Source organism: Homo sapiens, chromosome 2 (genome assembly GCF_000001405.40).
Source record: "Homo sapiens chromosome 2, GRCh38.p14 Primary Assembly".
Lineage (NCBI taxonomy): Eukaryota > Metazoa > Chordata > Mammalia > Primates > Hominidae > Homo > Homo sapiens.
This window is the reverse complement of record NC_000002.12, coordinates 230,635,254-230,648,562: the sequence shown is the minus strand read 5'-3', so window position 1 is coordinate 230,648,562 and position 13,309 is coordinate 230,635,254. Positions and strand designations below refer to the sequence as shown.

The following is a 13,309-nucleotide window of genomic DNA, read 5'->3' as shown; positions in this document are numbered from 1 at the left end:
GGGTGTGGTTTTGATTTGCATTTCCCTAATGACTAATGATGTTGAACATCTTCTCGTGTGCTCGTTGGCCGTTTGTATGTCTTCTTTGGAGAAATGTCTATTCAAGTCCTTTGTCCATTTTAAAACTGGGTTACTTGTTTCTTTTATTGAGTTGTAGTAGTTCTTTAAATATTCTGGATGCTAGACCCCCCTCCCTCTTTTTTTTTCTTTGAAAGAGTCTCACTCTGTCACCCAGGCTGGAGTGCAGTGTCCCGATCTCAGCTCACTGCCACCTCCACTTCTTGGGTTCAAGCGATTCTTGTGCCCCAGCCTCTCGAGTAGGTGGGACAACAGGCACATGGCACGATGCCTGGCTAATTTTTTGTATTTTAGTAGAGAGGAGGTTTCACTGTGTTGGCCAGGCTTGTCTTGAACTCCCAACTTCAGGATGTTACAGGAAAGGGGTCAGGATTCAGACCCCAAGAGAGAGTTCTTGGATCTTGTGCAAGAAAGAATTCAGGGTGAGTCCATAAAGTAAAGGGAAAGCAAGTTTATTAGGAAAGTAAAGGAATAAAAGTATGGCTACTCCATAGACAGAGCAGCCCCGAGGGCTGCTGGTTGCTTATTTTTTATGGTTATTTCTTGATTATATGCTAAACAATGGGTGGGTTATTCATGCTTCCCCTTTTAGACCATATAGGGTAACTTCCTGACGTTGCCATGGCATCTGTAAACTGTCATGGCGCTGGTGGGAGTGTAGCAGTGAGGACCACCAGAGGTCACTCTCTTGGTCATCTTGGTTTGGGTGGGTTTTAGCTGGCTTCTTTACTGCAACCTGTTTAATCAGCAAGGTCTTTATGACCTGTATTTTGTGCTGACCTCCTGTCTCATCCAGTGACTTAGAAGGCTTAACCATCTGGGGATGCAGCCCAGTAGATTTCGGCCTTATTTTACCCGGCTCCTAATCAAGACGGAGTTGCTCTGGTTCAAACGCCTCAGACAAAGTGATCCACTCACCTTGGCCTCCGAAAGTGCTGGGATTGTCACTGCCCCGACACTTCAATACTATCTTGTTTTTTTTTTCTTATTAATATAAGAAGACAGGAATGTCAGGCCTCTGAGCCTAAGCTAAGCCATCATATCCCCAGTGACCTGCATGTACACATCCAGATGGCCTGAAGCAACTGAAGAATCACAAAAGAAGTGAAAATGGCTGGTTCCTGCCTTAACTGATGACATTGCACCATTGTGATTTGTTCCTGCCCCACCTTAACTGATCAATAAACCTTGTGAAATTCCTTAGAAGCTCCCCCACTGAGCATCTTGTGACCCCCGCCCCTGCCCGCAAGAGAAAAACCCCATTTGACTGTAATTTTCCACTACCCACCCAAATCCTATAAAACTGTCCCACCCTTATCTCCCTTTGCTTACTCTTTTTGGACTCAGCCGCCCTGGACCCAGGTGATTAAAAAGCTTTATTGCTCACACAAAGCCTGTTTGGTGGTCTCTTTACACGAACGCGCGTGACAGGGATTACAGGTATGACCCACTGCACCCAGCCTAGGCTAGACCCTTAATCACACGTGGCTTGCAGATATTTTCTCCCATTCTGGGGCCAATTTGTGTTTCTAAAAGATCTCTCTGGCTGCTAGTTGGACAGTAGATTGTGCGGAGGAAGCAGAGCTAGAAGCCGGGTGAACAGAGAGGAGTGAATGCAGTCATCTAGAGGAGAGATCACGGTGGTCAGAATAAATTTCAACCCTCTAAGGCATGAGGCACACCCTTGGGTCTGCTCTAACATCTGGGTCTGCTTCTGGCCCTGGCACTGCCTTTGACCCTGGCTTCTCCAAACCCCTAGACTCTGATGTGTTTTCCTTCCATAGTTTTGCTCACCCAAGCCTGATTTCAGTTTATGTCTGTGTCCCCATTTTCCCTTCAATTTCCTTATATATTAATTTTTTTTACAGGGTCTCGTTCTGTTACCCAAGCTGGAGTGCAGTGGCACGATCATAGCTCATTGCAGCCCCGAACTCCTGAGCTCAAGCGATCCTCCCACCTCAGCCTCCAGATAGCTGGGGCTACAGGTGTGTGCTACCATGCCTGGCTAATTTTTTTCAAAATGTTTTTGTAGAGAAGGGGTTTGTGTTTCTCAGGCTTCTTCTATATTAATTTTATCTTTCCAAATTAGGTAGTTTTGTGCATCACCTCACATCCCTTTTGTAATGAGGAATGAGAATAAAGCATGAGAAAATATAGGGGGGTAGATAGGGAACTGGAGGATGGACTTCTGGCCTCCATGGACTCACAGAAGCTGAGCCACCGCTCCTTCTCCTCGTGCCTGCCCTTCTCCCAGCTAGTCTGGCTCTAACTTAAAGTTCCATTTCCCAGATTTCCATTTGCCCATGATGCACTGGGAGCCTGGTAAGTGACTGAGGAGTGGAGAGAGGCAATAGAAAGCTTTGGGGGAAAGCCCACAGATCCTTGAAAACACAGACACTCCATGTTTTCTAGTCTGGAACATCACTTTCAGAATCTGCCTGTCACTGAGCTTTCTTAGGCATGAACCGAAGCAGGAACGTCCCACCCTTTATTCTGTGAGTTAAGACTCGGCTGCAAAAGTTGCTGGATACAAAGTCTATATATAAGAATCAATGGGATTTTTACAAACTAGAAACAAACCAGTAGAAATAATTTTTCTCGGCCGGGCGCAGTGGCTCACATGCATAATCCCAGAACTTTGGGAGGCTGAGGTGGGCGGATCACCTGATGTAGGAAGTTCGAGACCAGCCCGGCCAACATGGCGAAACTCCGTCTCTACTAAAAATACAAAAATAAGCCGGGCGTGGTGGCGCATGCCTGTAATCCCAGCTACTTGGGAGGCTGAGGCAGGAGAATCCCTTGAACCCAGGAGTTGGAGGTTGCAGTGAGCCGAGATCGTGCCACTGCACTCCAGCCTGGACAACAGAACAAGACTCCGTCTCAAAAAAAAAAAAAATTTCCCCTTTTTTTTTTTTTGAGAGAGTCTCGCCCTGTCAGCCAGGCTGGAGTGCAGTGGTACGATCTCATCTCACTGCTACCCTCTCCTCCTGGGTTCAAGTGATTCTCATGCCTGTGCCTCAGCCTCCTGAGTAGCTGGGATTACAGACACCTACAATCACACCTGGCTAATTTTCATATTTTTAGTAGAGATGGGGTTTTACCATGTTAGCCAGGCTGGTCTCGAATTCCTGATCCCAAGTGATCTGCCTGCCTCGGCCTCCCAAAGTGCTGGGATTACAGGAGTGAGCCACTGCACCTGGCCAGTCTTTCTTTCAAATTTTAGAGACAGGGTCTTGCTGTATCGCCCAGGCTGGAGTACAATAGCTCTTTACAGGCACAGTCATAGAACACTGCAGTCTTGAACTCTTGGCTTCAAGCAATCTTCCTGCCTCAGCCTCTTGAATAGCTCAGATTACAGGTGTGCACCATTGTGCCAGCCAGAAATGATTTTTTTTTTTTTTTTGGAGTCGTGCAATCGTGGCTCATTACAGCCTCAACTTCTGGGGCTCAAGTGATCCTCCCACCTCAGCCTCCTGAGTAGCTGGGATTATAGGCGTGTGCCACCATACCTGGCTAATTTTTAAGATTTTTTTGTAGAGACAAGGTCTCTGTGTTGCCCAGGCTGGTTTTGAACTCCTAGGCTCAAGAAATCTGCCCGCCTCCCAAAGTGCTGGGATTATAGGTGTGAGCCACCATGCATGCTCCAGAAATAAAAAATTTTAAGGAAGTATTATGTAGAACAACCAGGGCTGGGACTGGAATGAGGCAAGAGAGGTATCTAAGACACAAAATTGTGAGGAGGCATTCACTCTCCTCTTCTCTTGCCTCACCCTACTCCTGCACTTGAGAAACTATCAGAAAGGGTAGGGCGCAAGGGCACCATGGCTCATGCCTGTAATCCCGCCACTTTGGGAGGCCGAGGTGGGCAGATCACTTGAGGCTAGGAGTTAGAGACCAGCCTGGCCACGATGGTGAAACTCTGTCTCTGCTAAAAATACAAAAATTAGCTGGGTGTGGTGGTGAGCTCCTGTGGTCCCAGCTACTCGGGAGCCTGAGGTGGGAGGATCACCTGAGCCCAGGGAGGTCAAGGCTGCAGTGAGCCAGGATGGTGTCACTGCACTCTGGCCTTGGTGACAGAGTGAGACCCTGTCTCAAAAAAGAAAAAAAAAAAGAAAAAAGACTGAATTTTACTGTAGGTAGATTACACTTTAATTTTTAAAAAAGGAAAAAACAAAGTAAGGCCCTTGGGCTATTGGAAACTAGCTACCCTGACGTAGATCAGCCAAAGTACCCCAGCTCTATAAGCTCACTTCATGTGAGCTCGAGCCCTGTATGCACTTTGCCCCACTCTTAAAGGCACCATGGGAGGAAACGGAAAGTTCAAGAGGCAGGAAGAAGTCAGAAGAGCCATGTGATGAGTATCTAACTGTATTTAGCTTCAGTTTCAAGATGTGGTGAACATGCAGAAGAGAATGAAAAACTCCCACTGCCTCTTGTCCCCAGGTTTTAGGCAGGAAACTTGATTATGAGTAAAATAATTGAGTGATTGGTTTATTGGATAGACAAGTGACAGGAAACATCCCACCCCCGCTCCCGTGTCCCCTGCCCTCCTGCCCACTCAAACCTGCTGTTTGACATCATCTTGTCTATTTCTGCTGTCTTGGTTTGGGTGTCCCTGGAAACAGACCCTGAGACGTGAACTGGGTATAAATAGTGAGGAAGTAAGATAGGAAAGGGAATGGGCCATTAAAGAGTGAGTTTTCAGACCAGAGGTCACAGCATTATCCCGACTGAGGGGCAGGAAGCTGTGGTACTTACCCAATGACTTCCTGTCCCTCCTTGGTTGAAGACTACTTCCAGGCACTTGACCACTCCAGCACTTCCTGTTTGCCTTGCTCAAGCGTTGAGCACCCTCCCTGGCCAGATAAAAGCTGTTGGGCAGAGGCTCGGGTATTGGCAATACAAGGCCTTCCTGCGTAGGTTGAATGCCCGGGATGTGGGCACAACAGTGCTCACTAGACCTGGTTAAAATCTGGGGATGGCCCACAGTTTTTCCAGGACCTTTTAGTTATAAGAACAGACTCCTTTTAATAATTAAAAAAAGTCTTATCTCTTCTAATATTCAATATTTTATCCTACTAACGCCCTCTACCCTGCTTCAGCTGGGGCCTGTCTTAGTCCAGGAACTGTGGGGAGTGGTCTGATCGCTTTTCTGACTCTCAACCTCTGGTCTCCTTCGCCACCTGTTCTTTTGGTCTCTGCAGGACTAGAGTGGGCAGGGGAAGAGAGGTGAGGGGCAGGAAGGGCTTTGGTTGACCTGCTCTGTTGTAATTTTAAGTGGGAACTCCAGGGAACTGGATGACACCTCCTGCTGCCCAATTGATCACCAATGCAGGGTCCCTGCTTTCTGGTTCATTCCCCTGCTTTACTTGCAGCAAGTTCTCCTGGGCAGAGTCTCTCTCAAGGAGACCTGGCCCAGCTCCTTTCAGCGAGCCCATCTCTGGCCTCTGGGAGATGCACATCCATCCTTGTCCCACCAGGCTCTGGAAGTGCAGGCCCTTTCCACCACCGTCATGTCTCTTCCTGTATTTGCCAAGCAGGGTGAGTTCCAGCCATGGCCTCCAGGCTATAGATTCTTTGGGTGTGGCTTCAGTCCCGAGTCCTTCGTGTCTATCTCTCCAAGGGATTCCTTATTTTTTAATTTTTAAATTTATTTTTATTTTTTGAGATGGAGTCTCGCTCTGTAGCCCAGGCTGGAGTGCAATGGCGTGATCTTGGCTCACTGCAACCTCTACCTCCCGGGTTCAAGTGATTCTCCTGCCTCAGCCTTCCAAGTAGCTGGGATTACAGGCGTGTGCCACCATGCACAGCTGATTTTGTATTTTTAGTAGAGATGGGGTTGCATCATGTTGGTTAGGCTGGTCTCGAACTCCTGACCTCAGGTGATCCACTCGCCTCAGCCTCCTAAAGTGCTGGGATTACAGGCACGAGCCCCTGCAGCCAGCCTCCAGTGGATTCTTTTAAAGCCCCTCACTTGGCTTGAGATGGTACAATCTGCCCTGTGTTGCCAGCTTGTCAGCTGGGAAGCTTTGGGCTGCAAGAATGCCAGATCTCAGTTAAACTGGTTTAACTATAAAGCCTTTGACTGTAAGACATTCAATGTTTCAGGGCAGACTGATCTTGCGGTTTTAAGACATCTCCCATGACCCAGGACCTTTGAGTCTCTCTGCTCTGTTGCCCACCCTGTTGGCTGCATCTGAAGATGGCTGTTGCCAGATGTAATCCAAGCCTTATGCTTTCTGGTTCATGTCTAGTGGCTCACATCCTTCTCGAGGAGCCCTCTGTCCCACTATTCTAAGAGAGAGTGCTGAGAGCCACTCCGATCGGCCCAGTTAAAGATGTGTCCACCTCCAAACCAACGACTTATGGAGGATAAAATAAAAAATGCTGATTGGCTAAGCCATCTCAATGGTTTCCTGTATGCAGAAGGGGTAAACGTACAAACGAAAATTTGGGTATTGTTAGGAAGAGGGGAATGGATGCTGAGTAGACAACTGCATTAGTTTCCTGGGGCTGCCGTAACAAAGTACAGTCATGCATCGCCTAACAACGGATACGTTCTGAGAAATGCATCATGAGATTTCATCATTGTGTGAACATCATAGGTTGTATTTACACTAATCTAGATGGTGTAGCCTACTGCTGGTACCTAGCACACCTAGGCTACATGGTGTAGCCTACTGCTCCCACGCTATGAACCTGGACAGCATGTTACTGTATTGAATACTGCAGGCAATTGTAGCACAATGGTATTTTGTATATCTGTTTTCTTTTGTTTCTTTCTTTTTTTTTTTTTTAGACGGAGTCTCGCTCTGTTGCCCATGCTGTAGGGCAGTGGCGCTACCTCGGCTCACTGCAACCTCCGCCTCCCAGGTTCAAGAGATTCTCCTGCCTCAGTCTCCCGAGTAGCTGGGACTATAGGCATGCACCACCACGCCCAGCTAATTTTTGTGTTTTTAGTAGAGATAGGGTGTCACTGTGTTGGCCAGGATGGTCGTGATCTCTTGACCTCATGATCTGCCCACCTTGGCCTCCCAAAGTGCTGGGATTACAGGGGTGAGCCACCACGCCCGGCCCAATTTTTATTTTTATAGCCTATTTTTACTGTAATTTTCTATGTTTAGATATACAAAATACCACCGGGTGTGGTGGCTCACACCTGTAATCCCAGCACTTTGGGAGGCTGAGGTGGGCGGATCACGAGGGCAGGAGATCCAGACCATCCTGGCTAACATGGTGAAACCCCGTCTCTACTAAAAATACAAAAAATTAGCCGGGCTTGGCAGCAGGCGACTGTAGTCCCAGCTACTTGGGAAGCTGAGGCAGGAGAATCACTTGAACCCGGGAGGCAGAGGTTGCAGTGAGCCAAGATCACATCACTGTACTCCAGCCTGGGGACAGAGTGAGACTCCATCTCAAAATAAATACATAAATAAATAAATAAATAATAAAAATAAAATTTCGTACACCTCTATAGGGCACGTGCCATGAGTGGAGCTTCCAGGACTGGAAGTTGCTCTGGGTGAGTCGGTGAGTGACTGATAAATGAATGTGAAGGCCTAGGACATTACTGTGCACTGCTGTAGACCTTATAAACACTGTACATTCGGCTACAGTAAACTTATAAAAAATAAAGTAATTGCACAACAATGTACAATGGTTATGATATCATTAGACAATAAAAATTTTTTCAGCTTCATTATAATCTTATGGGACAAGCATTGTGTATATGATTCATTGTTAACCTAAACATTGTTACTCGGCACCAGACTGTACCCAAAACTGGGTGGCTTAAAATAATAGAGATTTATTGTTTCACAGTCCTGGAAGCTAGAAATCTGAGCTAAAGACGTCAGCAGGTGGTGCTCCCTGGGGGAGAACGCTTCCTTGTTTCTCACAGCTTCTGGTGTTGCTAGCAACCCTTGGGGGTTTTTTTTGTTTGTTTTTTTTTTGAGATCGAGTCTCCCTCTGTCACCCAGGCTAGAGTGCAATGGCGCGCTCTCAGCTCACTGCAACCTCTGCCTCCTGGGTTCAAGGGATTCTCCTGCCTCAGCCTCCTGAGTAGCTGGGACTACAGGCATGTGCCACCATGCCCAGCTAATTTTTGTATTTTTAGTAGAGACGGGATTTCACTATGTTGGCCAGGCTGGTCTTGAACTCCTGACTTCAAGTGATCCATCCGCCTTGGCCTCCGAAAGTGCTGGGATTACAGGTGTGAGCCACCACTCCCGGCCGGCAACCCTTGGCATTTCTTGTCTTGCAGCTGTACTGCTCCAGTCTCATGCCATCTTCTCCCCGTGTGTCTTCACATTATTTTCGCTCTGCATATGTCTGTGCTCACAGAGTTTTCCCTTATAGGACATCAGCCATATTGGATTAGAGGCCCGCCCTACTCAAGTATGACCTTGCCTTAACTAATCTGCAGTGACCCTATTTCCAAAACGGTTATGTTCTGAGGTAGTGGAAGTTAGGGCTTCAATATATCTTTTTTTGGGGACACAATTGAACTCATGACAACAACAAACATCTACTTAAAACTATTCTCACAGCCAGGCACTGTGGCTCATGCCTTTAATCCCAGCACTTTGGGAGGCTAAGGCAGGAGGATGGTTTGAGGCCTGGAGTTCAAGATCAGCCTGGGCAACAACATAGTAAGGTCTTGACTCGCCAAAAAAAAAAAAGCTTATGCCTGTAATCCCAGCACTTTGGGAGGCTGAGGCGGGTGGATTGCGAGGTCTGGAGTTCGAGATCAGCCTGGCCAACAAGGTGAAACCTGTCTCTACTACTACTAAAAATACAAAAAATTAGCCAGGCATGGTGGTGCGTGCCTGTAATCCCAGGTACTTGTGGGGCTGAGGCAGGGGAATCGCTTTAACTCAGGAGGCGGAGGTTGCAATGAGTGAAGATTGCACCATTGCACTCCAGCCTGGGCGACAGAACAAGACCCCGTCTCAAAAAAAAAAAAAAAAAAAAAAATTAGCCAGGTGTGGTGGTGTATGCCTGTAGTCCCAGCTATTTGGGGAGGCTGAGGAGGGAGGACTGCCTGAACCTAGAAGTTCAAGGTTACAGTGGGCCATGATTACACTATTGCACACTAGCTTGGGCAACAGAGTGAGACGCTGTCTCAAAAAAACAAAAAAGCAATTCTGGATTTAATGTGATGAATAAATTACATGATTAAATTAAACAATATTGTGACTGGGCGTGGTGGCTCCTGCCTATAATCCCAGCACTTTGGGAGGCTGAGGCGGGTGGATCACCTGAGATCGGGAGTTTGAGACCAGCCTGACCAACATGGAGAAACCCCATCTCTACTAAAAATACAAAATTAGCTGGGTGTGGTGGTGCATGCCTGTAATCCCATCTACTCAGTGGGCTGAGGCAGGAGAATTGCTTGAACCCGTGAAGCAGAGGTTGCGGTGAGCTGAGATTGCACCATTGCACTCCAGCCTGGGCAACAAGAGCGAAACTCCATCTCAAAAAACAAACAAACAAACAAACAAACAAAAAAACCCCAAAAACCCAAAACCAAAAACCACAAAACAATATTGTGCAAAATAAGCTATGTGAATCGTTTCTTTTTTTTTTGGAGACAGGGTCTTGCTCTGTCACCCAGGCTGGAGTGCAGTGGCATAATCATGGCTCGCTGCAGCCTTGAACTTCTAAGCTCCAGCAATCCTGCATCCTCCCGCCTCACCCTCTCAAGTAGTTGGGACTACAGGCATGTACCACCACACCTGGCTAACTTTTAAATTTGTTTTGTAGAGAAAAGGCCTCACTATGTTGCCCAGGCTGATCTCAAATTCCCGGGCTCAAGTGATCCTCCCACCTGGGCCTCCCAAAATGCTGAGATAATGAGTGTGAGCCACCATGCCTGACCAATCTTGTCTATTTCTTATCAGCAGTTTTACTTAAAAGAAATATTGACCATTTCTGAAGTTATTAAAAAATATATGTTATCTATTCCGAAGAGAAATTTCAAAGAGGAGTATCAAAAATATTTTTACTGGTCAGGCATGGTGGCACACGTCTGTAATCCCTACTCAGCTACTCAGCTACTCAGGAGGCTGAGGCACGAGAATCGCTTGAATCTGGGAGGTGGAGGTTTCAGTGAGCCGAGATCACACCTCTGCACTCCAGCCTGGGTGACTGAGCAAGACTCCATCTCAAAAAGCAAAACAAAACATACTTTTTATTATTGCAGCATCATTAGAATACAGGCAAAGCCTCCAAAGGGTAGCATGGTGGGCACTCATTTGGATGAATACCTTCTGGTGAGTTCGGGAATAGTCACTCATTCTCCTCCAAGAGGACCTAGAAAAAAAATCAGGAAAAAAATCTCAGTAGAGTGGTTTCAACTGCTTCTTCCCTCCTGTCTCCTAATGGATACTCTGCGTGTATTTCTCTCTTATATTATTCTTTCCTTCCCTCCCCTCCCCTCCCCTTCCCTCCCTCTCCTTTTTTTGGGACAGGGTCTCCCTGTCATCACCTAGGCAGGAGTGCAGTGGTGCGATCACAGCTCATTGCAGTCTTGACCTCCAGGGCTCAAGCAATTCTTCCGTCTCATGTTTTTGTTTGTTTGTTTGTTTGTTTCGAGATGGAGTTTCGCTCTTGTTGCCCAGAGTGCAATGGCGAGATCTCAGCTCACTGCAACCTCTGCCTCTCGGGTTCAGGTGATTCTCCTGCCTTGGCCTTTGAAGTAGCTGGGATTACAGGTGCCTGACACCACGCCTGGCTAATCTTTGTATTTTTAGTAGAGACGAGGTTTCACCATGTTGGCCAGGCTGGTCTCAAACTCCTGACCTCAAGTGATCCACCCAGCTTGCCCTCCCAAAGTGCTGGGATTACGGGTGTGAGCCACCGCACCTGGCCTTCCCGTCTCATTTTTTGACATAGAGACAAGGACTCACTATGTTGCCCAGGCTTGTCTTGAACTCCTGGGCTCAAGCAATCTTCCCACCTTGGCCTCCCAATGTGTTGGGATTATGGGCTTGAGACACTGCACCCAGCCTACATTATTTCTTTCTATCTGTCTATCCATCCATCTACTTGCCATCATTTATCTATTTGTCTATCATCATCTGTATTTCTATCCAATGTATTATTTTTTATTACATAATCACATTTTAAAATTACATAAACAAATCATGTTTCCTGTAGATCCAGTGGTTGTGGGGGGTGTGATTTTTGCACCCCAGAAGCAACATGTAACAGTCTGGAAAGATGCTATTTGTCATAGGTGGGGGTGCTACTGGCATCTAGTAGGGAGAGGCCAGAGGTGTTGCAAAACGTCCTACAAGATACAGGACAGTCCCCGGGACAAAAAAGTATTTGGTCCTAAATGCCAGTAGTGCTGAGGCTGAGAAACCCTGCTATAGAACAGTACAAAGTTCAAAGAAGCAGATGGAAAAATAATGACAGCTGGGGATTTCCACAGTGAACATTTTGGCTAAATTCTTTCAATTTTCGATGCACAAAAATATATATGGAAATAATTACAGATGTATAAAGAAAGAAATGTGATTATCATATACATGCTGCTTTGAAACCCAACTTTTTTCAGGTAATAATATTGTTCCAAGTCAGTAATTTTATATCTGTTACATCATTTTTCTCATTAAAAAACTAGCTTTTTAAAGATAAAAATATAGCATTCATGTGGTTAAAAATAAGAATTGCCAAAGTTCAAAAGAGCAAATGCGTTTTCACCGTGGTTATGTGTATTTTAGTACGTGTAAACTCTTAAACCACAAATTTGACTATGCAATGGCACTGCTGTGTATTTTGCTTTCATTATTTAATAATACATTAAATATATTAAATAATGTACTCATATGTAATTATGCTTACTTTTGCACCAGCCTAATATATTAAGTAATAAATTACATTAGGACAATTTCCATACCCACACATAGAGACCCACCCATTCTTTTTTTTTTTTGAGATGGAGTTTTGCTCTTGTTGCCCAGGCTGGAGTACAACGGTATGATCTCGGCTCACCGCACTCTCCACCTCCTGGGTTCAAGCGATTCTCCTGCCTCAATCTCCTGAGTAGGTGGGATTACAGGCCCGTGCCACCATGCCTGGCTAATTTTATATTTTTAGTAGAAATGGGGTTTCACCATGTTGGTCAGGCTGGTCTTGAACTCCTGACCTCAAGTGATCCACCTGCCTTGGCCTCCCAAAGTGCTGGTATTACAGGTGTGAGCCACTGCGCCCATCCCATCCTATTCTTTATAATGCTGCATAGCATCACTTATTATCCTATTGATAGGCAGTTGGCTCTTCCTATTTTTGCTATCACAATCACTGATGTGTGGTCATTTGTATACAACCTCTCTGCAGTCTCATGTGAGCACACCCTGAAGAACTGGAACTGGTGAATCAAAGGATACGTTCTTACATTTTCATAGCTATTGCAAAGGTGCTGTCTAAAGAGTTTGCCTTGTTTATGTCTCCCACTGCCTCTTTCCCCACAGCCTCACCAATCAAATATTTAAATGTTGCTAACCTGATTTAATAAAAATGGTATCTAGTTGTTTTCATTTGCATTTCTTTAAAAAAACTGATACATAAACATTGTACATGTTTATGGAGTACATATGATATTTTGTCTTATTTTTATTATTTTTTATCTTTGAGAAGGAGTTTCACTCTTGTCGCCCAGGTTGGAGTGCAATGGCATGATCTTGGCTCACTGTAACCTCTGCCTCCTAGGTTCAAGTGATTCTCCTGCCTCAGCCTCCTGAGTAGCTGGGATTACAGGCACCCGCCGCCACACCCGGCTAATTTTTGTATTTTTAGTAGAGATGGTGTTTCAACATGTTGACCAGGCTGGTCTTGAACCCCTGATCTCAGGTGATCCACCCGCCTCGGCCTCCCAAAGTGCTGGGATTATAGGAGTGAGCCACTGCACTTGGCCTGTTTTGTTTTTAAAAGTTTTAAAATGGCTGGGTGCGGTGGCTCACTCATGCTGTAATCTCAGCACTCTGGGAGTCCGATGTAGGTGGATTACCTGAGGTCAGGAGTTTGAGATCAGCCTGACCAAAATGGTGAAACCCATCACTACTCAAAATAGAAAAAATTAGCTGGGTGTGGTGGCGGGCACATGTAATCCCAGCTACTCGGGAGGCTGAGGCAGGAGAATCCCTTGAACCCGGGAGGCAGACATTGCAGTCAGTGAGCCTAGATTGTGCCATTGCACTCCAGCCTGGGCAACAAGAGCAAAACT

At 46.2% G+C, this 13,309-nt stretch overlaps 1 annotated feature.

The window, feature by feature from the left end:
- Positions 3,931–4,100: an enhancer, noted in NCBI's record as "active region_17236". NCBI's record gives its function as "activates an Ori minimal core promoter by ATAC-STARR-seq in GM12878 lymphoblastoid cells {active_cell/tissue: GM12878}" and the evidence as "EXISTENCE:reporter gene assay evidence [ECO:0000049][PMID:35858748]".